The sequence below is a fragment of the Homo sapiens genome, chromosome 11, assembly GCF_000001405.40.
Source record: "Homo sapiens chromosome 11, GRCh38.p14 Primary Assembly".
Classification (NCBI taxonomy): domain Eukaryota; kingdom Metazoa; phylum Chordata; class Mammalia; order Primates; family Hominidae; genus Homo; species Homo sapiens.
Window position 1 is genome coordinate 17,611,798 of NC_000011.10, and position 26,229 is coordinate 17,638,026.

At 42.7% G+C, this 26,229-nt stretch overlaps 1 protein-coding gene across 2 annotated transcripts in view; it reads left to right on the forward strand.

Annotated features, from left to right (window-relative positions):
- The window catches only part of OTOG (otogelin), a 98,786-nt gene that overhangs the window by 64,539 nt on the left and 8,018 nt on the right, over positions 1–26,229 (forward strand). For both annotated transcript variants that reach the window (NM_001277269.2, NM_001292063.2), the window contains 11 exons: positions 365–533; positions 823–968; positions 1,815–1,904; positions 17,336–17,519; positions 19,905–20,125; positions 20,291–20,429; positions 21,883–22,077; positions 22,272–22,484; positions 23,047–23,151; positions 23,283–23,390; positions 23,813–23,914. In NM_001277269.2, the coding sequence (NP_001264198.1) occupies positions 365–533; positions 823–968; positions 1,815–1,904; positions 17,336–17,519; positions 19,905–20,125; positions 20,291–20,429; positions 21,883–22,077; positions 22,272–22,484; positions 23,047–23,151; positions 23,283–23,390; positions 23,813–23,914 (1,672 nt within the window). The remainder of the gene's footprint in view (positions 1–364; positions 534–822; positions 969–1,814; positions 1,905–17,335; positions 17,520–19,904; positions 20,126–20,290; positions 20,430–21,882; positions 22,078–22,271; positions 22,485–23,046; positions 23,152–23,282; positions 23,391–23,812; positions 23,915–26,229) is intronic.

The following is a 26,229-nucleotide window of genomic DNA, read 5'->3' on the forward strand; positions in this document are numbered from 1 at the left end:
GTGCCTTTGTGAGAAACTGTGTGTGTGTGTGTGTGTGTTTGTGTGTATAGGCTTGTGCAAGTATGCTAGGGTTTCTGTGAGTGTGAGCTAGTGTGTATACATGCCTGTGTACCCAGACCTCTCAGCGCAGGCCAGGCAGATCTGCAGAGGTCTCAGGGAATAGGTCCCTGACCCCCGAGCTCACACTAAGTGCATCGCCAGGCCCCACATGGCTTGTGGTGGGTAGGGGGTGAGGGCCTCTTTCCCTAGAAGGTCCCCTGCCCCGCTAGGACCTACATGTGGGAAGGATCTGGTGCCATCACAGCTTGCAGGGTGGGCTGTAGCTCCTTGATGGTCACTCACACTTCCTCCACTCTGTACCCAGCCAATCGCCGAGCAGGACTGCGTCCGCCACATCTGCCTGGAGGGCCAGCTGATTCGCGTGAATCAGTCCCAGCACTGTCCCCAGGGTGCTGCTCCCCCTCGCTGTGGGATCCTGGGCCTCGCCGTGCGGGTGGGTGGGGACCGCTGCTGCCCACTCTGGGAGTGTGCCTGTGAGTCATGGGATCAGCGGAGCCTCCTGCATCCTCCCTGTATCCTTACCCCAGCATGACCGCCATCCCTGATCTGTGTGTCCCAGACTCCCCTCCTGTGGGACCCCGACCTGGCAGATTTCCTACGCTTGTGACCTCTGATCTGTGTGATGCGTGGTCTGAGCCACCCTCCAGACCCCAGGCCTCTGCATCCATCCAGGAAAAGGGCCAGGAACCTGCCCCATCTTCCTAGGCGGCCTTGGTCTTGGAGGCATCCACCTATTCTTCTTGTGCCCTGCCCCTCCCCCAGGCCGGTGCTCAATCTTCCCTGACCTGAGCTTCGTGACCTTCGATGGGAGCCACGTAGCTCTGTTCAAGGAGGCCATCTACATCCTCAGCCAGAGCCCAGATGAAATGCTCACCGTCCATGTACTGGACTGCAAAAGTGCCAACCTGGTGCCTGCCCCATACCTCCCTCCCTGCTGGGGACTAGGAATGGGACTAGGATAAGAGGGGAGACGGAGCAGTGAGCCAGGGTACCAGAGGCAAAGACAGATGTGGAAGCCCCCCTGAGCTCCCTCTGTCTCCAGGAATGGGCAGGGCCTCCCAGGTGATGGCTCCCTTGGAGGCTGGGGAAAGAATTGAGTGGAGTGTGCCACCTCCTGGCCCCAGCCTGTCCCATTCCCAGCTTGTGCCAGCTTCCTGCCATGTAGGAGGGATGGCACAGTAGTGCAGAGGAGCTGGGATGCCACTGCAATGGTGTGGCCCGAGGTCATGGGTGCTGGCTGCAGGGAATCTCCTACTAGGATGTCCCCATAAGTCAGGTGGAAAGAGGTAGCTTCTTTCTCTTCTCTTCTCCCTTTTCTTTCTTTCTTTCTTTCTTTCTTTTCTTTCTTTCTTTCTTTCTTTCTTTCTTTCTTTCTTTCTTTCTTTCTTTCTTTCTTTCTTTCTTTCTTTCTCTCTCTGTCTGTCTTTCTCCTTCTTTCTTCTCTCTTCTTTCCCTCCCTCTCTGCCCTGCCCTTCCTTCCTTCCTTCCTTCCTTCCTTCCTTCCTTCCTTCCTTCCCTCCTTCCTTCCTTCCTTCCTTCCTTTTTTTCTGTTTTGGTCTGGGCTTGCATGAGGTCAGATGGAGCCGCAACAGTTCCATGCAATCCTGGGCACCATCAGCCCAGCCTGATGGGAGCCCCTGGCATAGTGCAGGGGGTAGTCAGGGGAGACTGTACTCACATTTGCTGTGCCCACTCACTTGGAGGGGGACAGAGGACAGGGCTCCAAGTTGATGAGGGCTGGGTTCTCTCTGCAGGGGCACCTGAACTGGCCCCCGTTCTGTCTGGTGATGTTGAACATGACTCACTTGGCCCATCAGGTCACTATTGATCGCTTCAACCGAAAGGTGAGTGCATCAAACAGCCAGCCTCCAGGGCAGGGCCACAGTCAGCTGAGGGACAGGGCATCCAGGGGTGGAGGGGCTGTGAGGCTGAATCATGATTCAGGGCAGGGGTGGGGAGGGGACCTTTTTTTAGAAAATAATGCAAAATTAGGTATATTTGGAAGTGATTATAATTAGAATGCTTGTGGCCACACCAATGTCAGGGGAGGAAGTATACCAGGAGGAATGGGATATTGTTGTGACAGAGAAAAAGTCGGAAAGGCAAAGAGACAGTGGGTTTAAATATTTATGGCTAAAATATCTCACTTTTGCAATTTTCACAAAAACCTATGACCACATGAACACATTACTACCAGGACCCCTACCAGGAAGTGAGGAGCCGTGAATTTAAGCTTCACTGGCTTCACTAAGTTCACCTCTGTCAAGGAGGCCGGGGTATCCAACAACAGCCCACCCCCATATGGGCATCCTCTCCAGAGGGCCCACCTTTGCTCCTCCCAACAGGTGGGCAAAGGGTACTGATCTGTCTCCTCCTCAGGTCCCAAAGTTGTGAGTCTGCCCCCAATTCCTGAGCCTTGATCTGCAGCCTTCCTTTTGGAATCTGCCCTTGAACACAGGGTGCGGCACATTTGTGGTGCTCTTAGGAGCGGGGTTTCGGACAGTAGGTTTCCTATGGGATGGAGGCTTGAACAGAAAACTCCCTGAGTTTCGTTTCTTAGTTTATAAAATTTTTCCATTAAAAAATTAACATATAATCTACATGCAGTAAAATTTACCGTATTTAGTATACAATTCTACAAGTTGCAACAAGCACCCACAGTCATGTAACTACCACCTCCAACCAGGATATAGAACAGTTTTACCATCCCAAACACTACCTCCTGCCTCTTCATTGTCAACCCCTCCCCCCTCCTGCTGACAACCATTGCCCGCTGCCCCTATAGTTATGCCTTTTCCAGAATGTCATATAAATTGACCAGAGTATATGGTGACATTCATCCACATTGTTGCACAGATCAGTAGTTCAATCCTTTTTATTGATGAATAGTATTCCATTGTATGTATGTACCATAGTTTATTTATCCATTAACCAGTTGAAAGATATTTGAGTTGTTTCCAGTTTGGTACAATAACAAATAAAGTGGCTATAAACAGTTACATACAGGTTTTGTGTAGATAAAGCCCCCAGGAGTAGATTCCCGTGTTGAACAGGAAGGATGTATTTAGCTTTACAATACTTGCCAAACTGTATTCCAGAGCAGGCATTTAGCATTCCCACCAGCAATGGATGAGAGCTCCAGGAGCTTTGCATCCTTGCCAGCACTTGGTGGCACGTGTTTGTTTGTTTGTTTAGTCATTCTAATAAGTGTCAAATAGAACCTCATTTTGGTTTTAATTTGCGTTTTTCTGCTTACTGATGATGTTGAGCATCTTTCCATGGGTTTATTTTCCATGGTATATGCTCTTTGGCAAAGTATCTGTTCAAGTCTTTTGCACATTTTAAAGATCATGTTGTTCTATTGAGTTTTGAGAACTTTTCCTGTGTATTTTGGACACAAGCCTTTTATCACATATAAATCTAATTTTCCAGTCTGTAGAGTGTTTTTCCATTCACCTACTAGTGTCTTTCGAAAGACAGAAGTTTTTTTATTTTGATGGTGTCCAGTTTATCAGTTTTTTCTTTTATGAATCATGATACTGGTGTTGTACTTGATGAACCTTGCCCAAAGTCACACAGAATCTCTCTTATGTTTTCTTCTAGAAGTTTTATAGTTTTAGGTATTACTTTTATGTGTATGTTGCATTTTAGGTTAATTTTTGTAAATGGTACAAAGTATGAGTTGAGGTACATTTTTCAAATGTGAATACTCAATTTTTCCAGCACCATTTTTCGAAGAGACTATTCTGTCTCCATTGAATTGTCTTTGAACCTTTATTTAAAAACCAACTGGCCAGGCACAGTGGCTCATGCCTGTAATCTCAGCAGTTTGGGAGGCCGAGGTGGGCGGATCTCAAGGTCAGGAGTTTGAGACCAGCCTGACCAACATGGAGAAACCCCTTCTCTACTAAAAATACAAAATAAGCTGGGCGTGGTGGCACGCACCTATAATCCCAGCTACTCGGGAGGCTGAGGCAGGAAAATCACTTGAACCTGGGAGGCGGAGGTTGCGGTGAGCTGAGATTGCACCATTGCACTCCAGCCTGGGCAACAAGAGTGAAACTGTCTCAAAAAAAAAAATTAATGTTTGGGATAATTTATATGCTTTTTATTTTGTCCTATTAATCTATCCTTTCACTGATGCTACAGTGTCTTGATTACCATTACTTATTATTAAACCTTAAAATTAGGTGGTATTGTTTTGTCTGTTCTTTTTTTTAGAGACAGGGTCTTTCCCTATCATCTAGACTAGAGTGTGGTGGTGCAATGATAGCTTACTGCAGCCTCGATCTCCTGGGCTCAGCAATCCCCCCACCTCAGCCTCCCAAGTAGAGGACAACAAGTGTATGCCACCATGCCTAGCTAATTTTTTAATTTTGTATAGAGATGGGGTCTCACTATGTTGCCCAGGCTGGTCTCAAACTCCTGGCCTCAAGAGATCCTCTTGCCTCAGCCTCCCAAAGTGCTAGAATTACAGGCGTGAGCCACCGTGCCTGGCCTAGCTATTCTAATTCCTTTAACTTTTCATAGAAATTTAGAATCAGCTTTTTGATTTCTACCAAATGTCTTCCTGGAATTTTGAGTTGCATTCAATATATAGATTATTTGGGAGAAGAATAAATCTTAACACTGGTGAGTCTTCCAGTGCATGAACATGGTTCATCTCTATTTTTTTATGGCTTCTTTGATTTTTTTATTTGTGTTTTGTAGTTTTTAGTGTAAGGATCCTATACATATTTGATAGGCTTATTCCTAAGTAGTTTATATTTTTTGGTGCTATTGTAAGTAATTGTGTTGTTTTTGTTTCACTTTCCAATTGCTTATTACTAATGCAAATACAGCTTATTTTTGCATATTGAGCTTGTATCTTGCAACGTTACTAAGCTCAGTTATTAGTTCTTAAATTCTTTGGGTTTTTCTACATAGACAATTATGTCTTCTCCAAACAGAGACAGTTTTATTTCTTCCTTTCCAATGAGTATGCTTTTAATTTATTTTCTCTCACCTATTGCACTGGCTAGGACCTCTAGTGTGATGCTGAATAAGAAAGGTTGAGAGCAATCATCCTTGTCTGATCTTAGGGAGAAGGCATTCAGTCTTTCACTGTAAGGCATGATGTTAGTTGTAGGCTTTTCACAGATGTCCTTTATCAGGTTAAGAACATTTTCTTTTATTCCTAGTTTTCTGAGAGATTTTATTACCAGGAGTAGATGTTGAATTTTGTCAAATGCTTTTTTCTGCACCTATTTGGATAATCACATTGTTTTTCTTTTTCACATTATTAATTTGATGAATTACATTGATTTTTGTGTGTTAACCCAGTCTTGCCTTCCTGGAATTTACTTCATTTGTTATATTATCCTTTTTATATATTGTTGTATCCTTATGATAGGTATTAGTCTAAATTTTCTTTTCTTGTAATATGATAGTTTACTATTGGTAGCAGAGTAATGCTGGCCTCACATAATGAGTTGGAAAGTATTCTCCCCTTTTTAATTTTCTGGAAAATTATATGTAGACTTGGTAATATTTATTCCTTAAACATTTGGTAGAATTCAACAGTGAAGCCATCTGAGCCTGGATTTTTCTCTGGGGAGATTTTAAAACACACGTTCAATTTCTTTAGTAGGTGTAGAGCTATTTTGTTTATATATTTCTTCTTTGGTAAATTTGGGTAGTTTGCATCTTTCATAGAATTTGTCCATTTCATCCAAGTTGTTAAATTTATAAACATTAAGTTGTTCATCATATATTCTTGCTATACTTTTAATTTCTGTAGGATCTGAATCTATGTGCCATATCTAATTCCTGACATTAGTTATTTGTGTCTTCTCTCTTTTCCCTGACTAGCCTGGCTAGAGGCTTATCAAACTTACTGTCCTTCTCAAAGAATGGCTTTATTGGTTTTCTCTATTATTTTTATATTTTCTATTTCATTGATTTCTGCTATCTTTATTATTTTCTTTCTTCTGCTTACTTTAGGTTTAATTTACTCTTCTTTTTCTAGTTTGTTAAGGAAGAAGCCTATGTCATTAATTTGAGAACTTTCTTCTTCTTCTATTTTTTTTTTTTTGAGACAGAGTCTCACTCTGTCGCCCAGGCTGGAGTGTAGTGGTGTGATTTCGGCTCACTGCAAGCTCTGCCTCCCTGGTTCACACCATTCTCCTGCCTCAGCCACCCGAGTAGCTGGGACTACAGGCACCAGCCAATTTTTTTTGTATTTTTAGTAGAGACGGGGTTTCACCGTGTTAGCCAGGATGGTCGCGATCTCCTGATCTCGTGATCCACCCGCCTTGGCCTCCCAAAGTGCTGGGATTACAGGCGTGAGCCACCATGCCTGGCCTCTTTTTCTAATATAAGCATTTAGTGCTACAATTTTCCCTGTACGTATTGATTTAACTGCATCCTACAAGTTTTGATATGCTATGTTTTCTTTTTCAATCAGTTCAAAATACTTTTAAATATCCCTTTTGATTTTTATTTGACCCATGAATTAAGGGTTTTGTTTAATCTTCAAATATTTTATGATTTTCCAGATGCCTTTCTGTTACAGATTTCTAATTTAATTTCATTGTGTTCATAAGACATAATTTGTCTAACTTGAATTCTTTTACATTTAGTAAGATTTATTTTATGTCCGAGAATATGCTCTAAGTAAGTGTGTATTTTATTATTGGGTGGAGTGTTCTATGAATGTTAATTAGGTCAAATTGGCTGATAGTGTTGTTCAAGCCTTCTAAATTCTTACTAATTTTCTATCTGTTTATTCTCAGTTACTGAGAGAATGTTGAAATATCTGACTGTAATTGTTTATTTGTCTATTTCTCTTTGGAGTTTTATCAGTTTTTTTATTCACATATATTGAAATTCTGTTATTTAGGTGCATAACATGCAGGATTGTTATGTCCTTTTGATGAATTAACTCTTTTATTCTTAGGAAATGGCCATTTTATCCTGGTAAAACTCTTTGTTCTGAATTCCACTTTGTCTGACTTGCCTGTAATAACTTCTCCAGCTTTGTTTTGATTGGTTTTAGCGTGTATACCTAATATGTATATCTAAGATGTATCTTTTTTAATCCTTTTACTTTAACCTGTTTGTGGCTTTTTATTTAAAGTGGGATTTTTGGCCGGCATGTAGGCTCATGCCTGTAATTTCACTTTGGGAGGTTGAAGCAGGTGGACTGCTTGAGCCCAGGAGTTCGAGACCAGCCTGGGCAATATGGCAAAACACAATCCCTACTAAAAATATATATATTAAAAAATTAGCCAAGCATGGTGGCACATGCCTGTAGTTCCAGCTATGCAGGAGGCTGAGGTGGGAGAATCACCTGGGCCCAGGAAGTTGAGGCTGCAGTGAGCCGTGATTGCACGACTGCACTCCAGCCTGGGTGACAGGAGTGAGGCCCTGTCTCAACAAACAAACAAACAAATAAAAGTGGGACTTTTGCAGGGGGTAAATAGTTGAGCCTTCAGTTTTTAAAGATCCAATCTGACAATCTCTTCCTTTTAATTGGGGATGTTTATACCATTTATGTTTAATTTGGTCCTCAACATAGTGATGTTTATATATTGTTGCTATTTATTTTCTATTTGTGACATCTGTTCTTTGTTCCCTCCTTCCTTTTTTTGCCTTCTTTGGATTGTTTTTAATGACTCCATTTCATCTCCAATGTTGGATTATTGTCTGTACTTTTTTTTTCTCCTTCAGTGGTTGCTTTAGATATTACAGTATGTAATTTTACTTTGTCACAGACTAGCTACAAATAATATTATATTGCATCATATATACCATAAGAACTTTATAACAGTATACTGCTATTTCCTTTCACCAAGCCTTTGTGTTATTGTCATAAAATTTACTTCTATAATTATTATAAACTCCACAGTAAATTGTTATTATTTTTCCTTAAGCAGTTATCTTCTAAAGAGATTTTTAAAACAAGGAAAGTTTATATTTAACCACATATTTACCATTTTGTGCTTTTTATTCCTTTGTGTAAATCTAGATTTGCATCTGGTATCATTTTTCTTCTGCTCGAAAGACTTCCTTTAACACTTATGTAGTACAGATCTACTGGTGATAAATTCTTTCAGCTTTTGTTTGTCAGAAAAAGTCTTGGTCTTTCCTTCATTTTTAAGAGATACTTTCACTGGGTATAGAATTATAGGCTGATATTTTTTTCTTTCAGTACTTTATAAGACGTTGCTCCTGTCTTTTTTTTATTGAGGAGAAATTGACAAAACATAAAATTAAGCATTTTAAAGTGAACAATTCAATGGCATTTAGTACATTCACAATATTGTGCAACCATTGCCTCTGTATAGCTCCAAAACATTTTCATCACCCCAAAAGGCAACCCCATACCCATTAAGCAGTTTCTTCATAGTCACCTCTCCCCACAGCCCCTGCCAACTACCAATCTGCCTGTTGCCTCTGGATTTACCTATTCTGAATATTTCATATAAGTGGAGTCAGACAATATCTGACCTTTTGTGTCTGGCTTCTTTTACTGAGCTCCATGTTTTGGGGGTTCATCCACATTGAAGCATGTATCAATGCTTCATTTATTTTTATGGCTGGAATAATATTCCATTGTATGTATATACCACAGTTTGTTTATCCATTCATTATTGATGGGCATTTAAGCTATTTCCATATTTTTGGCTATTTTGAATAGTGCTGTTATGAAGTTCCACTATCTTTTATCTTGCTTATTTCTGGTAAGAAATCTGCTGTCATTCTTTGTTCCTTCATACATAATGTAGTTTTTTTCTACCCCTTTTTGCTGCTTTTATGATTTTCCTTCTATAGTTGTTTTTAAGCAATTTGGTTATGATAGGCCTGGTAATTCATTTCTCTTTTGGGGACTTCAATTACATGTGTTTTAGGATACTTGAAGTGGACCCACAGATCACTTATGCTCTCTGCTCATCATTCTCTTGGGTCTTTTTTAATTCTGTGCTTCATTTCAGATAGTATTTATTGCTCTAAGTTCATTAATCTTTTCATTTATAGTGTCTAAACATATTAATTCCATTCAGTGGTTTTCATCTCAGACATGATATTTTTCATCTGCACAAGTTTGATTTGGGTCTTTTTATATCATGAACATCTCACCTTCTTCTGTTTTCCTCTATTTCTTGAGCACATATAGTTAAAACAATTTTAAAAATAATTGTTTGTATTTCCTTGTCTACCGTGTGTGTCATTTCTCAGTCAGTTCTGATTGATTTTTTCTTTCATTATAGGTTGTATTTTCCTGCTTCTTTGCATGCCTGACAATGTTTTTAAATTGAATTCCAGACATTGTGAGTTTTGCCTTGTTGGATGCTGGATATTCTTTCATTTTATTTTTGAAAATATTCTTGAGCTTTGTAGTAGTTATGCTACTTGGAAACAGTTTGATCCTTCTGAGGCTTGCCTTTAAGCTTTGTTAGGTAAAGCCAAAGTAGCCTTTATTCTGAGTGTGATTTTATTCTTTATCCTACATACCAATTCCCTGCTACTAAAGCAACACCCTTCTGCATACCCTACCCTATACTCTACATATTAGGAGGTTTTTCTACTATTCTCAGCCCTGTGCTAGCTCTGTGGATTTTTCTGTCTGTTTCTCTCAGGTGGTTCTTTCCCTAGTCTCAGGTAGTTTTCTCACCTGCATACATTGATCAATATTCAGCTGAAAATTCAGGACAGGGTCAGGACAGGGTTGGAGGGGGATTCTGCAAAGCTTCAGAGCTCTCTCTCTCTCTCTCTCTGTCTGCCATGCAAACTCTAGCTACCTTGGCCTTTGTGAATGTCTATCTCTTGTCTTCTAAACTCTAGGAAACCACCAGGCTCTACCTGGGTTCCTGCTCCCTGCACTGCAGCCCCTAAACTCTCTAAGTAATAACCTTGGACAATCATAAGGCTTGCCTCATTTGTTTCCATTTTTTGTTTTCAGGGATCACTCTCCTGCATTGCCAACTGTTCACGTTGGAAAACTGTTGTTTTATATATTTTGTCAGTTTGTTTGATCATTTAAGGCAAGAGGGTAAATCCAGTTCCTATTACTCCACCTTGGTTAGAAATGGAATTCTAAGTCCTTCGTTTTTAACCTTTTATTCTTTGTCCTTGCATGGAGTCCTATGAATGCAGGCGAGGCTCCTCTCTGGGCTTCAGGTATGTATGTTTACTCCCAGAACTCAGAGACTGCTCATGGATCATGAAGCCCAATCCTCTGTCTGTACAAATAGGAAGGCTCAGGCTAGGAGAGCCAGGGGCTTTCCTAGGGTCACAAAGTTTTCTTTGTGACTCCTGGGCTGAGGCTCCCTCTACATAATAGTTCATGTGCTGCATAATTTGCTGCATAAAACAGTCTAATCCTTTTTTAATTTTTAATTTTTATGGGTAGATAGTAGGTATATATATTTGTGGGGTACATAAGAGATTTTGACACAGGCATTCAATGTGTAATAATCACATCACGTAAAATGGGATATCCCTCCCCTCAAACATTTATCCTTTGTGTTACGAACAATCTAATTATATACTCATTTATTTATCTTTAAATGTATAATTAAATTACTATTGACTGTAGTCACCCTGTTGTGCTATCAAACACTAAGTCTTACTCATTCTTTTTAATTTTTCTTTTTACTCATTAATCATTCCCATCTCTTCCTCAACCCCTCCACTACCCTTCCCCTGTGTCCGTGAGTTCAATTGTCTTGGTTTTTAGATCCCACACTTGAGTGAGAACATGTTAGGTTTGTCTTTCTGTGCCTGCTTATTTCATTTAACATAATGACCTCCATTTTCACCCATGTTTTTGTAAATGACAGAATCTCATATTATTGTGGCTGAATAGTACTCCATTGTGTATAAGTACCACATTTTCTTTATCCATTCATCTGCTGATGGACATTTACATTGCTTCCAAATCTTAGCTATCGTGAACAGTGCTGCAACAAACATGGGAGTGCAGATATCACTTCGATATACGGATTTCCTTTCTTTTGGGTGTATACCCAGATTGCTGGATCATATGGTAGCTCTATTTTTAGTGTTTTGAGGAACCTCCAAACTGTTCTCCATAGTGGAGAACTAATTTACATTCCCACCAAAAGTGTGAGGGTTCCCTTTTCTCCACATCCTCACCAGCATTTGTTATTTCCTGTCTTTTGGATAAAAGCCATTTTAAGTGGAGCGAGATGATTTCTCATTATAGTTTTGATTTGCATTTCTCTGATGATCCATGTAAGAACATTTTCATATGCCTGTTTGCCATTTGGATGTCTTATTTTTTATTTTATTTTATAACTTTTAAGTTCAGGGGTACATGTGCAGGTTTCTTATATAGATAAACTCATATCGCAGGAGTTTGTTGTACAGATTATTTTGTCACCCAGGTATTAAGCCTAGTACTCATTAGTTATTTTTTGATATTCTCTTTCCTCCCACCTGACACCCTCCAGTACACCCCAGTATCTGTTGTTCCCCTCTACCTGTCCATGTGCTCTCATCATTTAGCTCCCACTTATCAGTGAGAACATGCAGTATTTGGTTTTCTGTTTTTGCATTAGTTTGCTAAGGATAATGGCCTCCATCTCCATCCATGTTTCTGCAGAGGACATGATCTCATTCTTTTTTATGGCTGCATAGTATTCCATGGTGTGTATATACTACATTTTCTTTATCCAGTCTACCATTGATGGACATTTAGGTTGATTCCATGTCTTTGCTATTGTGAGTAGTGCTACCATGAATATATGTGTGCAGGTGTGTTTATGATAGAATAATTTATATTCCTCTGGGTATATACCCAGTAATGGGATTGCTGGGTCAAATGGTAGTTGTGTTTTTAGGTCTTTGAGGAATCATCACACTGTTTTCCACAATGGTTGAACTAATTTATACTCTCACCAACAATGTGTAAGTGTTCCTTTTTCTCTACAACCTTGCTAGCACCTGTTATTTTTTGGCTTTTTAGTAATAGCCATTCTGACTGGTGTGAGATGGTATCTCATTGCTGTTTTGATTTGCATTTTTCTAATGATCAGTGATGTTGAGCTTTTTTCATATGCTTATTGGCTGAATGTATGTCTTCTCTTGAGAAGTGTCTGTTCATGTCCTTTGCCCAGTTTTTAATGGGGTAGTTTGTTTGTTGTTGTTTTCTTATAAATTTGTTTAAGTTCCTTATAGATACTGGATGTAAGATCTTTGTCAGATGTATAGTTTGCAAAAATTTTTCCCATTCTGTAGGTTATCTGTTTACTCTGTTGATAGTTTCTTTTGCTGTGTAGAAGCTCTTTAGTTTAATTAGATCCCATTTGTCAATTTTTGCTTTTGTTGCAATTTCTTTTGGTATCATTGCCATGAAATCTTTGCCGTTTCTGTGTCCAGAATGGTATTGCCTAGGTTATCTTCCATGATTTTTATAGTTTTGGCTCTTACATTTAAGTCTTTAATCTATCTTAAGTTAATATTTGTATATGGCGTAAGGAAGGGGTCCCATTTCAATCTTCTGCATATGGCTAGCCATTTATCCCAGTAGCATCTATTGAATAGAGAGTACTTTACCTATTGCTTGTTTTTGGTGACTTTGTAGAAGATCAGACAGCTGTAGGTGTCTGGCCTTATTTCTGGGCTCTGTATTCTGTTCCATTGGTCTATGTGCCTGTTCTTGTACCAGTACTATGCTGTTTTAGTTACTGTAGCCGTGAAGTATAGTTTGAAGTTGAGTAGCATGATGCCTCCAGCTTTGTTCTTTTTGCTTAGGATTGCCTTGGCTATTCGGGCTCATTTTTGGTTCCATATGAATTTTAAAATAGTTTTTTTTTCTAGTTCTGTGAAGAATGTCATTGGTAGTTTGATAGGAAGAGCATTGAATCTATCAATTGCTTTGGGCAGTATGGCCATTTTAACAATATTGATTCTCCCTATCAATGAGCATGGACAGTTTTTCCATTTGTTTGTGTCATCTGTGATTTATTTGAGCAGTGTTTTGTAGTTCTCCTTGTAAAGATCTTTCACCTCCCTGGTTAGCTGTATTCCTAGGTATTGGATTCTTTTCGTGGCAATTGTGAATAAGATTGCCTTCCTGATTTGGCTCTCGGCTTAGCTATTGTTGGTATATAGGAATACTAGTGATTTCTATACATTGATTTTGTATCTTGAGACTTTGCTGAAGTTGTTTATCAGCTGAAGGAGCTTTTGGGTTGGAACTATGGGGTTTTCTAGATATAGGATCATGTTGTCTGCAAACAGGGATAGTTTGACTTCCTCTCTCCCTATTTGGAGGTCCTTTATTTCTTTCTCTTGCCTGATTGCTCTGGCCAGGACTTCCAATACTATGTTGAATAGGAGTGGTGAGAGCGGGCATCCTTGTCTTGTGCCAGTTTTCAAGTGGAATGCTTCCAGGTTTTGTCCATTCAGTGTTGTTGGCTGTGGGTTTGTCATAGACGGCTCTTATTATTTTGAGGTATGTTCCTTTAACACGTAGTTTATTGAGAGTTTTAAATATGAAGCGGTGTTGAGTTTTACCAAAAGCCTTTTCTGCACCTATTGAGATAATTCTTGGTTTTTGTCTTTAGTTCTGTTTATGTGATGAATCATATTTACTGATTTGTATATGTTGAACCAACATTGCCTCCCAGAGATAAAGCCTACTTGATCGTGGTGAATAAGCTTTTTGATATGCCACTGGATCCAGTTTGCCAATATTTTATTGAGGATTTTTGCATCACTGTTCATGTCTTCTTTTGAGAAATGTCTATTTCAAATTTTTTGTGCATTTTTAAATCAGATTATTAGATTTTTTTCCTATAGAGTTGTTTGAGGTCCTTATATATTCTAATTATTAATCCCTCATCAGATGTATGGTTTGCAAATATTTTCTCCCATTCTATGGGTTGTCTCTTCACTTTGTCGATTGTTTCCTTTGCTGTGCAGAAGCTTTTTAACTTGATGTGATCCCATTTGTCCATTTTGCTTTGGTTGCCTGTGCTTTTGGGGTATTATTCAAGAAATTTTTGCCCAAACCAATGTCCTGGAGAGTTTCCCCAGTGCTTTCTTGTAGTGGTTTTATAGTTTGAGGTCTTAGATTTAAGTCTTTAATCCATTTTGATTTGATTCTCATATATGGTGAGAGATAGGGGTCTAGTTTTATTCTTCTGCATACAGATATCCAGTTTCCCCAGCACCACTTATTGAAAAGACTGTCTTTTCCCCAATGTATGTTCTTGGCACTTTTGTCGAAAATGAGTTCACTGAAGGTGTATGAATTTGTTTCTGGGTTCTCTATTCTGTTCCATTAGTCTATATGTCTGTTTCTTTGTTTGTTTGTTTTTGTTTTTCAGACAGAGTCTCACTCTGTCGCCCAGGCTGGAGTGCAGTGGCACGATCTTGGCTCACTGCTACCTCTGTCTCCCAGGTTCAAGTGATTCTCCTGCCTCAGCTTGCCAAGTAGCTGGGGTTACAGGTGTACACCATCACACCTGGCTAATTTTTGTGTTTTCAGAAGAGACAGGGTTTCACCATGTTGGCCAGGCTGGTCTCAAACTCCTGACCTCAGGTGATCTGCCCACCTTGGCCTCCTAAAGTGCTGGGATTACAGGCATGAGCCACTGCACCCAGCCTATATGCCTATTTTTACGCCAGTACCATGCTGCTTTGGTTACTATAACTCTGTAGTATAATTTGAAGTCAGGTAATGTAATTCTTCTAGTTTTGTCCTTTTTGCTCAGAATAGCTTTGGCTATTCTGGGTCTTTTATAATTCCATGTATATTTTAGGGTTGTTTTTTCTATTTCTGTGAAGAATGTCATTAATATTTTGATAGGGATTACATTGAATCTGTAGGTTTCTTTGGGTAATATGTACATTTTAACAACATTGATTCTTCTAATCCATGAGCATGGGCTATCTTTCCATTTGTGTCTTGTTCAATTTCTTTCAGCAGTGTTTTATCATTTTCATCATAAAGCTCTTTCACTTCTTTGGTTAAGTTAATTCTTAGATAATTTAATTTTACTTGTGGCTATTGTAAATGGGATTACTTTTTAAATTTATTTTTCAGATTGTTCACTGTTGGCATATAGAAATGCTACTGATTTTTCTATGTTGATTTTGTAATCTGCAACTTTACTGAATTTTAAAATCAGTTCTAGTAGTTTTTTGGTGGAATCTTTAGTTTTTTTCCAAATATAAGATTATATCGTCTGCAAACAGGATAATTTAACTTCTTCCATTCCAATTTCAATGCCCTTCATTTCTTTCTCTTGTCTGATTGCTCTAGGTAGGACTTCTAATACTATGTTGGATAACAGTGGTGAAAGTGGGCATCCTTGTCATGTTCCATATCTTAGAGGAAAGGCTTTTCATTTTCCCCCATTCAATATGATACTAGCTGTGGTTCTGTCATATATGGCTTCTATTACTTTGAGGTATGTTCCTTTTATACTCATTTTTTTTTAGGATTTTTATTGTGAAGGGATGTTGAATTTTATTGAATGCATTTTCAGCATCATTTGAAATGATCATATGGTTTTTTTGTCCTTTATTCTGTTGATATGATGTATCACTTTGATTTGCGTATGTTGAATCCCACTTGGTCACAATTAATGATCTTTTTGATGTATTGTTGAATTCATCTTGCTAGTATTTTTTTGAGGATTTTTGCATCAATATTTTTCAGAAATAACAACTTGCAGTCTTTTTTTGATATGTCCTGGTCTGGTTTTTGTATCAGAGTAACACTGGCCTCATAGAATGAGTTTGGAAGTATTCCCTCCTTCTCTAATAGTGTGAGTAGGATTGGTATTAACTCTTCTTCAAATGTTTGGTAGAAGTCAGCAGTGAAGCCATCGGATCCCAGGCTTTTCCTTACTGGGAGACTTTTTATTACAGCTTCTTCTCATTACTTGTTATTAGTGTTTTCAGATTTTTTATTTCTTTGTGGTTCAATCTTGAGGTTGTATGTGTCTAGGAATTTATCCATTTCCTCTAGATTTTCTCTTCTACTGGCATATAGCTTCTCATAGTAGCTGCTAATGATCCTTTGAATTTCTGCAGTATCAGTTGTGATGCCTCTTTTTTCATCTCTGATTTTATTAGAGTCTTCTTTCTTTTTTCTTAGTTAGGCTAAAGGTTTGTCAATTTTGTTTATCTTTTCAAACAAACTTTTAGTTTCATTGATCTTTTGTATTTTTTTATTTCAAATTTATTTCTGTTCTGATCTTTATTATTTCTTTTCTTCTACTAATTTTGGATTCGATTTGCTCTTGCTTTTTTAGTTCTTTAAGATACATTGTTAGGTTACATATTTGAAGTTTTTCTTCTTTTTTGATATAGGCACTGATAGCTATAAATTTCCCCCTTAGTGCTGCTTTTGCTGTATCCTGTAGGTTTTGGTATGTTGTGTTTCCATTATCATTTGTTTCAAGAAAAGTTTCAGTTTTTTTCATAATTTTTTTATTGACCCACTTGACATTCAGGAGCATATAAAACAGTCTAATCTTGAAGGGAGGAGGTTAATTCATTATAAATACTTTAAAATCTTAATCTTTTTATATTCCATTTTTTTCAGTGTAAAACTATTGTAATAACCCATGGTACATCCAAATTTAACCTTGTTAATACGTAGAAGAGGTTGTAGCCTTGAATTTAAAGTGTTTGTGAGAATTAGAGTGTGTTGCATATTTAACAAATATTGATTGAGCCCCTATTTATGTTAGGCTCAAAGGCAGGTGTTGGGGATTCAAAGGTAAATCAGGCATAGTATCTGCCCTTAAGAAACTCAGTTCACTGGATATCTTGATGTGGAAACAGATACTTAATGGCCAGCACAGAGATGAGGAAAGCCCAGAGCAGGGGTATGTAGCCCCAAGGCTGGGAATTTAGGGAGACTCTCCCAGAAGAAATGATCTGAACAGAATCAGGAAAGACTCCCAGAAGAAGTGATCTGAACAGAATCAGGAAAGAAGAGAGTGATTGGAAGGGCTCAGGATTTGTGTTTATTTGGGCATTAAGATGCAGCTTGCCTCCTGTTGTTGCATTTCTTGTTTCATTGTATTTTTCCAATAAAGATATTTTCAGAAACCTCACATGCCACTTTCGACGGTGATTTGGCTGCATGTGCCTGAAACAGAGCCTGGCACATAGCAGATGCCTAATAAATGTTTGTCAGATGATGGGTGGATGGATGGATGGATGAATGGATGGACGGACAGATGGATGGATGGATGGATGAATGAATGGATGGACAAGCTGTGCTCACACTGAATTCCCTCCCAAGGTGACTGTGGACTTGCAGCCTGTGTGGCCACCGGTGAGCAGGTATGGATTCAGAATTGAGGACACAGGCCACATGTACATGATCCTGACTCCCTCAGACATCCAGATCCAGTGGCTCCACAGCTCAGGACTCATGATCGTGGAGGCCAGCAAAACCAGCAAGGCCCAGGGCCATGGCCTGTGCGGTGAGGTGGAACCCAGCTTGCGGGGAGGGGATGCTTCCCAGGTCCACCTCTGCCCCCACACATAATTCCTCCTGGAGCAGGAAAGGCTGGGACAGAATACCAGGCCAGAGGTTGGAGCAGCAGAGCTGTCAGGGCAGGGAGGCCTAACGTCTTGTGTCCTGGGGCCAAAGCTGCCAGTAGGGAGATAGTAGAGGGCTCTGGACTCAGCCAGTTGTCACTTCAGCCGGGATTGTCTGTCAGCTTCCCTGACAGCCTTCTAATGTCGGATAATCCTTTCCATCTGCATGAGCCTGGGCATTTCACAAAGTACTTCCACAGTCTATCTCACTTATTCCTGGTCATCCACACAACAGCACTGAGAGATGGCCATTAGTATCCCCACTGAACTAAAGAAGAAAGGGGGCTCAGAGAGATTAAGGGGCTTACCCAAGGGCACACAGCAGAGCTGCCACAATACACAGAACTAATGCTCTTCAGACCATAGCACAATTGCAGAGCATGCCCTAAAAGATTGAATGTATTCTCATAAGGAAAAGAGATATGGGACAAGCCTGGATGTGGGCCGCTGCTCATTGCCGGGGCATAAGCACATGGACACTCATGGGGCACTCCGTGACAGACTACCATGATTGTGACGATGGGTGAGATAAAAACACTTACACACACACACACACATACACACACACACCCTCCATCCTCCACCTGCACCCCGGTGATCATTCACACATTCCCATTCATGCCCCTCTGCATCCAAATTCCCTCTACACATGCACTAACACATGCAGTTCAGCTCCATGCTCATTTTTTCCTTTGTGCAACACATATTGCCATGTACCAGTCGCTGGGGACAAAACAGTGAACAAAACAGACAAAATCCCTGTTTTATGGTGCTTCCATTCTTAAACACTTCTTACACACATGCCACCATCCCCACCACCACCAACACCATCACCATCACCATCACTACCACCATCTTTTTCTCATCATTTCTTCCTTCTCCTCTGTTCATTGCCAGCAAAGAGCACTGTGGTCAGCAGTAGCCTGGTGAGCCAACCCCTCCCTAGGATACCTTTGGGACACCCCTCACTGACTTAAAGCCAAGACCCAAAGTGTGACCATGGGAACCATTAATAATATATTAATAAGAGTTTGCCTTTAATCATGCTTTATATTCACAGAATCATGGTTAGAGGTGTTAGAACAGAAGTCAGATCATTTATATCTCCATTTTATTTGAATGAACATTTGACAGCTGGGCACCCTGCTAGACAAACTTAGGGGAGTGCTGAGATAATTGAGAATCTAAAAGAAAATGAGTCTTTGCACTCAGAGAGCTACAATCTTTTGTGAAAGGCTGACCTGCAAGCCAATGACTGTTACACAGACTTTGGAATGTCATGGATAGTGCATCTGAGGCGTCCTTGAAGGAAGGACATCTGAGAAAGTATTTCAGGCAGAGGAAGCAGCTTGAGCAAAGTTGTGGGCAGGAAAGTGTGTGTCTGGAGCATATAGATGGTATGTGGGAGATGAAACCAGAAGTTTAGGTCACATTAAAAGCTAGGACAGATAAACTTCACCCTTGCCCCCATCTCAGTGCCTTAACACAACAGAAGCTTATTTCCTGCATACATAAGTTCCCAAATGGATAGCAATGATTCAGAGACCCAGAGTCCTTCCATCTTCTGGTTCTGCCATGTCAACATGAGTTTCCAAATTCACAGGAGAGGAGACAGGTGGGAAGTTTTTATGAACTAGGCCTGGAGGTGGTACTCGTCACCTTCACTCATATGCCATTGGCTGGGACTCAATCGGATGATCTCACCCAGCTGCAAGGGCATCTGGGAAAAATACACTGACTGCCCAGGAAAAAGAAGGAACAGTTGTTATAATCAGCTAGCAATCACTGGTAAAGCAGACTTTTGGGGGGTAGCTTTTTATTTTGGTGTAATATAGCAAAGCTTATAAAAATTTAGAACTTGCAAAGACAGTATAAAGTAGTGTACACCTTTTACCCAGATTTGCCCCATTTGCTTCTCTCCTTCTCTCTCTCTCTCTCTCTCTCTGTGTGTGTGTGGGGGGGGGTATACATTTTTATATGCACATGCAATACATATATATATATATGCATTTTTCGGAACCATTAGAAAATAACTTCAAGACATTGTATCCTTTTACCCCTAAATACATGTGTATTTCCTAAGTACAAAGACATTTTCTTTTGTAGCAGGTTTCCTAGCTTCCCTTCACCTAATTTCCCTCACCTATAAAATGGGGATAATGGTATTATTGACCTCAAAGAACTGTGAGGAATACAAAAAGTGAGAGCTGACGACATGGGAGTGGTAGTGATGATCGTGGCTGTTGGGATTGTTTGGCCCCTTTCAGGTATCTGTGATGGAGATGCAGCCAATGACCTTACCCTGAAGGATGGCTCAGTGGTGGGTGGGGCTGAGGACCCTGCTCCCTTTCTGGACAGCTGGCAGGTGCCCAGCTCCCTGACCTCAGTGGGCCAGACCCGCTTCCGCCCAGACAGCTGCGCCACAACTGACTGCTCGCCCTGCCTTCGCATGGTGTCCAACCGCACCTTCAGTGCCTGCCACCGCTTTGTATGTGCCAACTGGGTCCAGCACTGGGGACACCTCCTGGGCTGGCTGGGGATGGCAGCACCTACCTGCAGAGGCTCATTGTTCCTTTTGGGCAGGGAGGGGAGGAGCTGGGCACTGGGATATGTGCCATCCGAGTAACCAGCACTGCCTGATGCATATGTCCAGGTGCCTCCGGAGTCATTCTGTGAGCTGTGGATCCGGGACACCAAGTACGTGCAGCAGCCCTGCGTGGCCCTGACTGTGTACGTGGCCATGTGCCACAAATTTCATGTGTGCATCGAGTGGCGGCGCTCTGACTACTGCCGTGAGTTTGCGGGGCAGGGGGACCCTCCATTGTGACTATTGTTCCCATCCCCTGTTAAAGTGGGAAAAGGCTCCCGGCCCCAAGTTCATGTATGCTTTCCCAGCTTTAATCATTCATGGATTTATGTACATTAGTAAATTTATAAATATTTCATATGTTTAATTTATATTTAATTTTTATATTATATAAAAGTACATTTTATACTAATGAACACATTTATTATGATTCATATGAACATATTAACACATAGTAATTGTATTGTTATTTTAGTATTTGCTTTCTTTGCGTCTCTTCTCTGTAAGTGGAGACTGTAACCATCGCCCCCGCCCAGGGTGGTTTTGAGGATGTGGGGGAATGTGTTCCGAGTGCTCACATAGACCTGCCCCACGGACACCGTCCAGCACACCTTAATTCCCTCTGCTTCCTTTTTGCTCACGTTTCTCTTCTTCCAGAGTTTCCCTTCCTTCCTGCAGGAAGGAAATGAGATCTGCCTCCTCCTCCCCCAATTAGGTTTGACTGGTAGGGTCGACAGGGGTGGCCTGGGCTAGGGTAGCTTGATTTATAAATGTGAACCTGTCCAGAAAGGCTGGGATTGGCTCACAGGAAGTCCACACCCACAATATGACAAGTAAAAGAGGAAAAGACAAAAGTCCTCTTGGGTCGTGTTCTTCAAACTGTGGATCCCAACTCAGCGGGTATGAAATCAATTTAGGGGGTCAGCACCAGCATTTTAAAAAATACAATAGAATAGAAAATACCAGTGTGTATTGCTCATAGAAAGTTTAGGTATGATTTTGTAAAAGAGATTTTTTATTTTATATAGAAGCGATTTTCAATCCTAAATACCCTTTGAAATCACTCAGACAACTTGAAAATGCATGGGCCCCACAATCAGAGATTCAATTGGCCTGGGGTGGGTTCCCCACAATGATACCTCAAAAACTCCCAAAGGATTCTTTTGTAGTCGAGTTTGAGGACCACTGTTCTACATGCTTGTATTAGGCCACAATGTAAAATCTACTTTTTACAATCAAGAAAGTTTGAAAACACTGATCTAGAGCAAGGGGTTGGCAAACCTTTTCGGTAAAGAGCCAGAAAGTAAGTATTTGATGACTTGTGTGCCATATGGTCTCAGTCATAAGTCCTCAACTCTACCTTTTTTGGTACAAAAACAGCCTGAGACAGAATATAAATGAACAGGCATGGCTGTGTTCCAATAAAACTTTATTTGTGAAAACAGACAGTGGGCTGGGTTTGGGCTGTGGGCTGTACTTTGCTGAGTCCTGATCTAAGGAAGGAGGTGATGTCACCAAGCCCTTTAACTTATGCACTCTCTGCTGAGGTGCTGATGACACTCTGAGCCCTCTCCTCATCCCCTCCTGTTCTTTCGGCCCTCAGTGGGGAGCCCTGCCTGGGGTCTGAGGTAGGCCTGGTGCCCACTGTGCCCCTGCAGCCTTCCTGTGCTCCAGCGACTCCACATACCAGGCATGTGTGACAGCCTGTGAGCCACCCAAGACATGCCAGGATGGGATACTAGGGCCTCTGGACCCAGAGCACTGCCAGGTGCTGGGCGAGGGCTGCGTCTGCTCCGAGGGCACCATCTTACACCGGCGCCACTCTGCACTCTGCATCCCGGAGGCCAAGTGCGGTAGGTTCCTCCCCTCCCTGAGTGGGGGGCCTCCAAAGCCAGCCTCAGCCTCGCCTCCTGCTGTCCACAGCTGAGTCCCATCTGCATCCTTTCAGGTCTGCTTAGGGGTGGCCAGTAAACCAGGGAGAGTCTAGCCTGGGAAGGTCTGGGCTCACCTTCCTCAGTCCCTCGCACCCTGCCATTCCCCTCTGCAGCCTGCACTGACAGCATGGGGGTGCCGAGGGCCCTGGGGGAGACCTGGAACAGCTCCCTCAGCGGCTGCTGCCAGCACCAGTGCCAAGCCCCAGACACCATTGTCCCGGTGGATCTGGGCTGCCCCAGTCCCCGCCCTGAGAGCTGCCTGCGATTCGGGGAGGTGGCCTTGCTCCTACCCACCAAGGACCCCTGCTGCCTGGGGACTGTCTGTGGTGAGTGTCCACCTTCACTTCCTTGGACGTCAACTGTAAAACAGTTAAAAGGTTCCAGCCCTGCACACCAACCCTGATGGATAGGACAAGGCCTAGGAAAAGCAAAGTGTCTTGTAGGGGGTGAGCTTGGAGGAGGGGAGAACCCTCCCTGGGGGCAGGGGCAGAGGCTCAGGAGTCAGTGCAGGGAGTGCTGTGGAGCCAGGCAGCCTGGCCACTCTTCCTCCCCCACCTGTAGCCTTGTGGCCTCGGGCAAATTATTTCACATCCTCTGTGCCTTGGTTCATTCTCCTGGGACATGAGCTGAAGATCGATCGGGCCCATCTTTGGGGTTGCTGTGAGATGGGGTGCGTGTCAATGGATGTTAGCTCTTGCTGATCTTCTGTCCCAGCCCTGAACCCTCGTGTGACCCTCAATGACCTCATCTAGGAGTATGGGTCCTGGGGGCTGGGGGGAGGAGTGGGGCCAGGCGTCCAGGGGTTGGGCAGTTGTCCAGTGTTCTCCACTGGAGAGCAGTGGGGACATCCGGCCCCGAGGTGACAGGCCCTGTGGTCCCCGGGGCCAGTGTGTAACCAGACTCTGTGTGAGGGTCTCGCCCCCACATGCCGCCCAGGCCACCGCCTCCTCACCCACTTCCAGGAGGACTCCTGCTGCCCCAGCTACAGCTGTGGTGAGAGGCCCGGGGTGGGGAGGGTGGGGGACGGACTGAGGGCAGTGGGGGGAGGACAGCTCTGGGGGCAGGGGCCCAGGGGTGGCCAGGCAGGTTCCTCTCCCAGCACCTAAATTCAGCCTTTTCCCCAGAGTGTGACCCAGATCTCTGTGAGGCAGAGCTGGTCCCCAGCTGCCGACAGGACCAGATCCTGATCACGGGCCGCCTGGGGGACTCCTGCTGCACCTCCTACTTCTGCGGTGGGTCGCCGCCACCAGACGCCAGCGCACACAGCCTGATCACAGTCCGCCGGCCTCACCCCTGTGTCCTTGGGCAGCTGGGAGGAAAGGCTGGGGGTCTTCAGATGGGGTGGGCAAAGGGAGAAGGACAAGCTCACTGTCCAGGAAACAGTGTGGGAGGAAGAGGACACCGACCCCGTGTTCCCCCTAGATTACTAAGCACGAGGAAACTGGTGCTTGTTCTGTGTAAGCCTTTGGGTGGACATGAGGGAGAACTTCCAGATTCTGATTCCAGAACGGATCACGTGAGACCATGCGATGCTGCCATTAGTTAGCTCCTGCCACACCTGGGTTGTTGAGGAGGCCCCACCCCCAGCAACGTGCTGTGTGCCAGGCCCCTATGAGAGGACTGCTGTGACAGCATTGACCCTCTTCCCCCTCAGCCTGTGGTGACTGTCCAGACTCCATCCCCGAATGTCAAGAAGGGGAGGCGCTCACTGTGCACAGGAATACCACGGAACTCTGCTGCCCTCTGTACCAGTGTGGTGAGTCCTGGCTGGGCACATGGCGGGCTGCGGCAGGAAGGGGCCCTTCACAGAGTTCCCACCCCGGACCAATGGGGGTTGACAGGGAGCAACAGAGCGCCCCCAGGTGGTGAGCTCTGGAGGGGCCGAGCAGCTGAATCCAGGACGAGTGCAGGCCCACCTGAAGAAGCTGGGTCAGGCTGTCAGGCTGGAGGGTGGGAGGTCCAGGCCTGTCCCCTCCATGGAGGCCCCCAAGGGCCAGACAGAGGCTAGGGTTGAAGGACAAATACTTGGGTCCCTCCATCCCCCACAGCACTGATAAGAAGTCCTCATTCCCTGACTGACCCAAGGCTCCCCTTCAGGGTCCCTTTCGCCACTGTGTCGCCATAGTGCCCGCTCCTGGAGGCTGTATCACAGAAGGCCCTGTGTTGCAAAACCTCTGAAGCTCTTTTATTTTGTAATTATAAATAAAAGTATGCTTTTTCCAATATTTTTATAGGGCCTGGTACCTGTATGTATGATACTGTATATACATGTAGACATGTATAGTATGTGCATATCATGTACTGTGTTCATAGTACCTTGATATAGAATGCACTATGTACATAGTACCTCAATAGTAACTGTTAAGCATAGTGCAGCCAGCATTACGGATTGTAAGCAAACCTAATGGATGAAAATGAACAAAATGGTTCTATTTAAATATTATTCAATTTACAAAAATTGCTTTGCACACTGATAATAGGAGAAGCATGAGGTTTTTTCTTACACAGAACAGAGTAGGAGAGGGGCTTCCACCAGGACACCCAAGGGCTTCTCTGATTGGTTCAATGTGAAGAGCCACCTCCGAAACAATGTAGGCTCCCATCCCATGAGAGTTGCCCAGATGACCTGGCCGCACCTGACCAGGAGCTTGTTGGCCCACTTGCCACAGTATTTGCAAGACTGATGTGAGGACAGATTCACTATCCTTTCTCCTTCTCTTCTGTCTTTCTCTTTCTATCATTACCCCTCCCCCTCAGCCCTCCTCCTGTATTCACGTTTCTTTCCATGTTTCTCGGGGGGCAGCCTAGTCCTATGGATGGAGTATGGGCATAGTCAGTTGGTTTCTGAGCCTCAGTTGGGCTGTCTACCAGCTGTGCAGCCCAGGGCAAGTTCCTTACTCTCTGAGCCAAGGTTGCTCATTTGTAAAATAGCGATGCTAGTATCTGCCTTGAGGGGCTGTTGTGGAAATTAGAGATAATTTTTGTGAAGGACCAAATGGTCCTTGGTATGCAGTAGGTGCTCCAAAACAGAGGCTGTTGATATTATCACTTTCTCCCAGTCTTCGTCATACTTTTGCTATTACAAAAGCACTGTATATGCATTGTAGAAAGTACGAATTCCAAGTAAATGCAAGAAAATGAAAATACCACCTTCCTACCTGCTAGATAATTCCACTGCCAATGCTTTAGTGGATACATATCCTTCCAGATTCTCTCTATGGCTTTATATAGATGTGTGTGGTTTACCAAAATCAGCTCATCCTGGACATACTCTTTTTTTTTAAACTGGCTGTTTTCATTGAACAATCACTACCTTTCCATGTTAATACATTTTCAACTCATCTCATGCCCAGTCTGTTTCTTCCTGTTTGTCCAATCCAGGATCCAGTCCTGGACCATGCATTATAATGACATGCCTCACATCTCTCATCCTAGCACAGGTCCCTTTTCCTGTATGACCTCCCACTGTAGAGTCCATGCCATGACCCTGCAGAGAGTTCCCGCTTCTGGACTTCACCAGTTGCTTTCTTTTGGAGCTGCTTACCTTGTTCCCTGGGCCTCTGTGCTTCCTAAAACTGAAATTTCCATCTAAGGATTGATGGGTTCAAGTTAAAAATTTGGGGCTAGACAGTGCGTGCATGAGCTTCATAGCACATCACTTCGGGTGCCACACACTATCTGGCTGAGTCACAAGAATTGATGTTAACGTTGGCCCAGATTAGGGTGATGACCGTAATCCTAAGATCTCTCCATCTTACATTTTTCCTCTTCCAACCAGAAAATAACCTATTACTTTGACACCATAAAAATGCCCTCCCTCATAATTTTTTGGAACACCATTTGATAATCCTTGCTTGTGCCAATAACTTTATTAGTAAATCAAGTAACTCTTACAGTTTTCAGATCCTCACCTTTAGTGCTGACCCTCGCCCCTCCCCTATCCACCAAAACGTTGCACCCAGGGAGTTCCCTCACCCCTTGCCTTGTTCTCCCAGCAAATGAGAATGGCTGAGGAATCCTGAACTGAGAAAAGTCAGCCTAAAGACTAGGAAGAAAGGAAGTGCGGGCCCT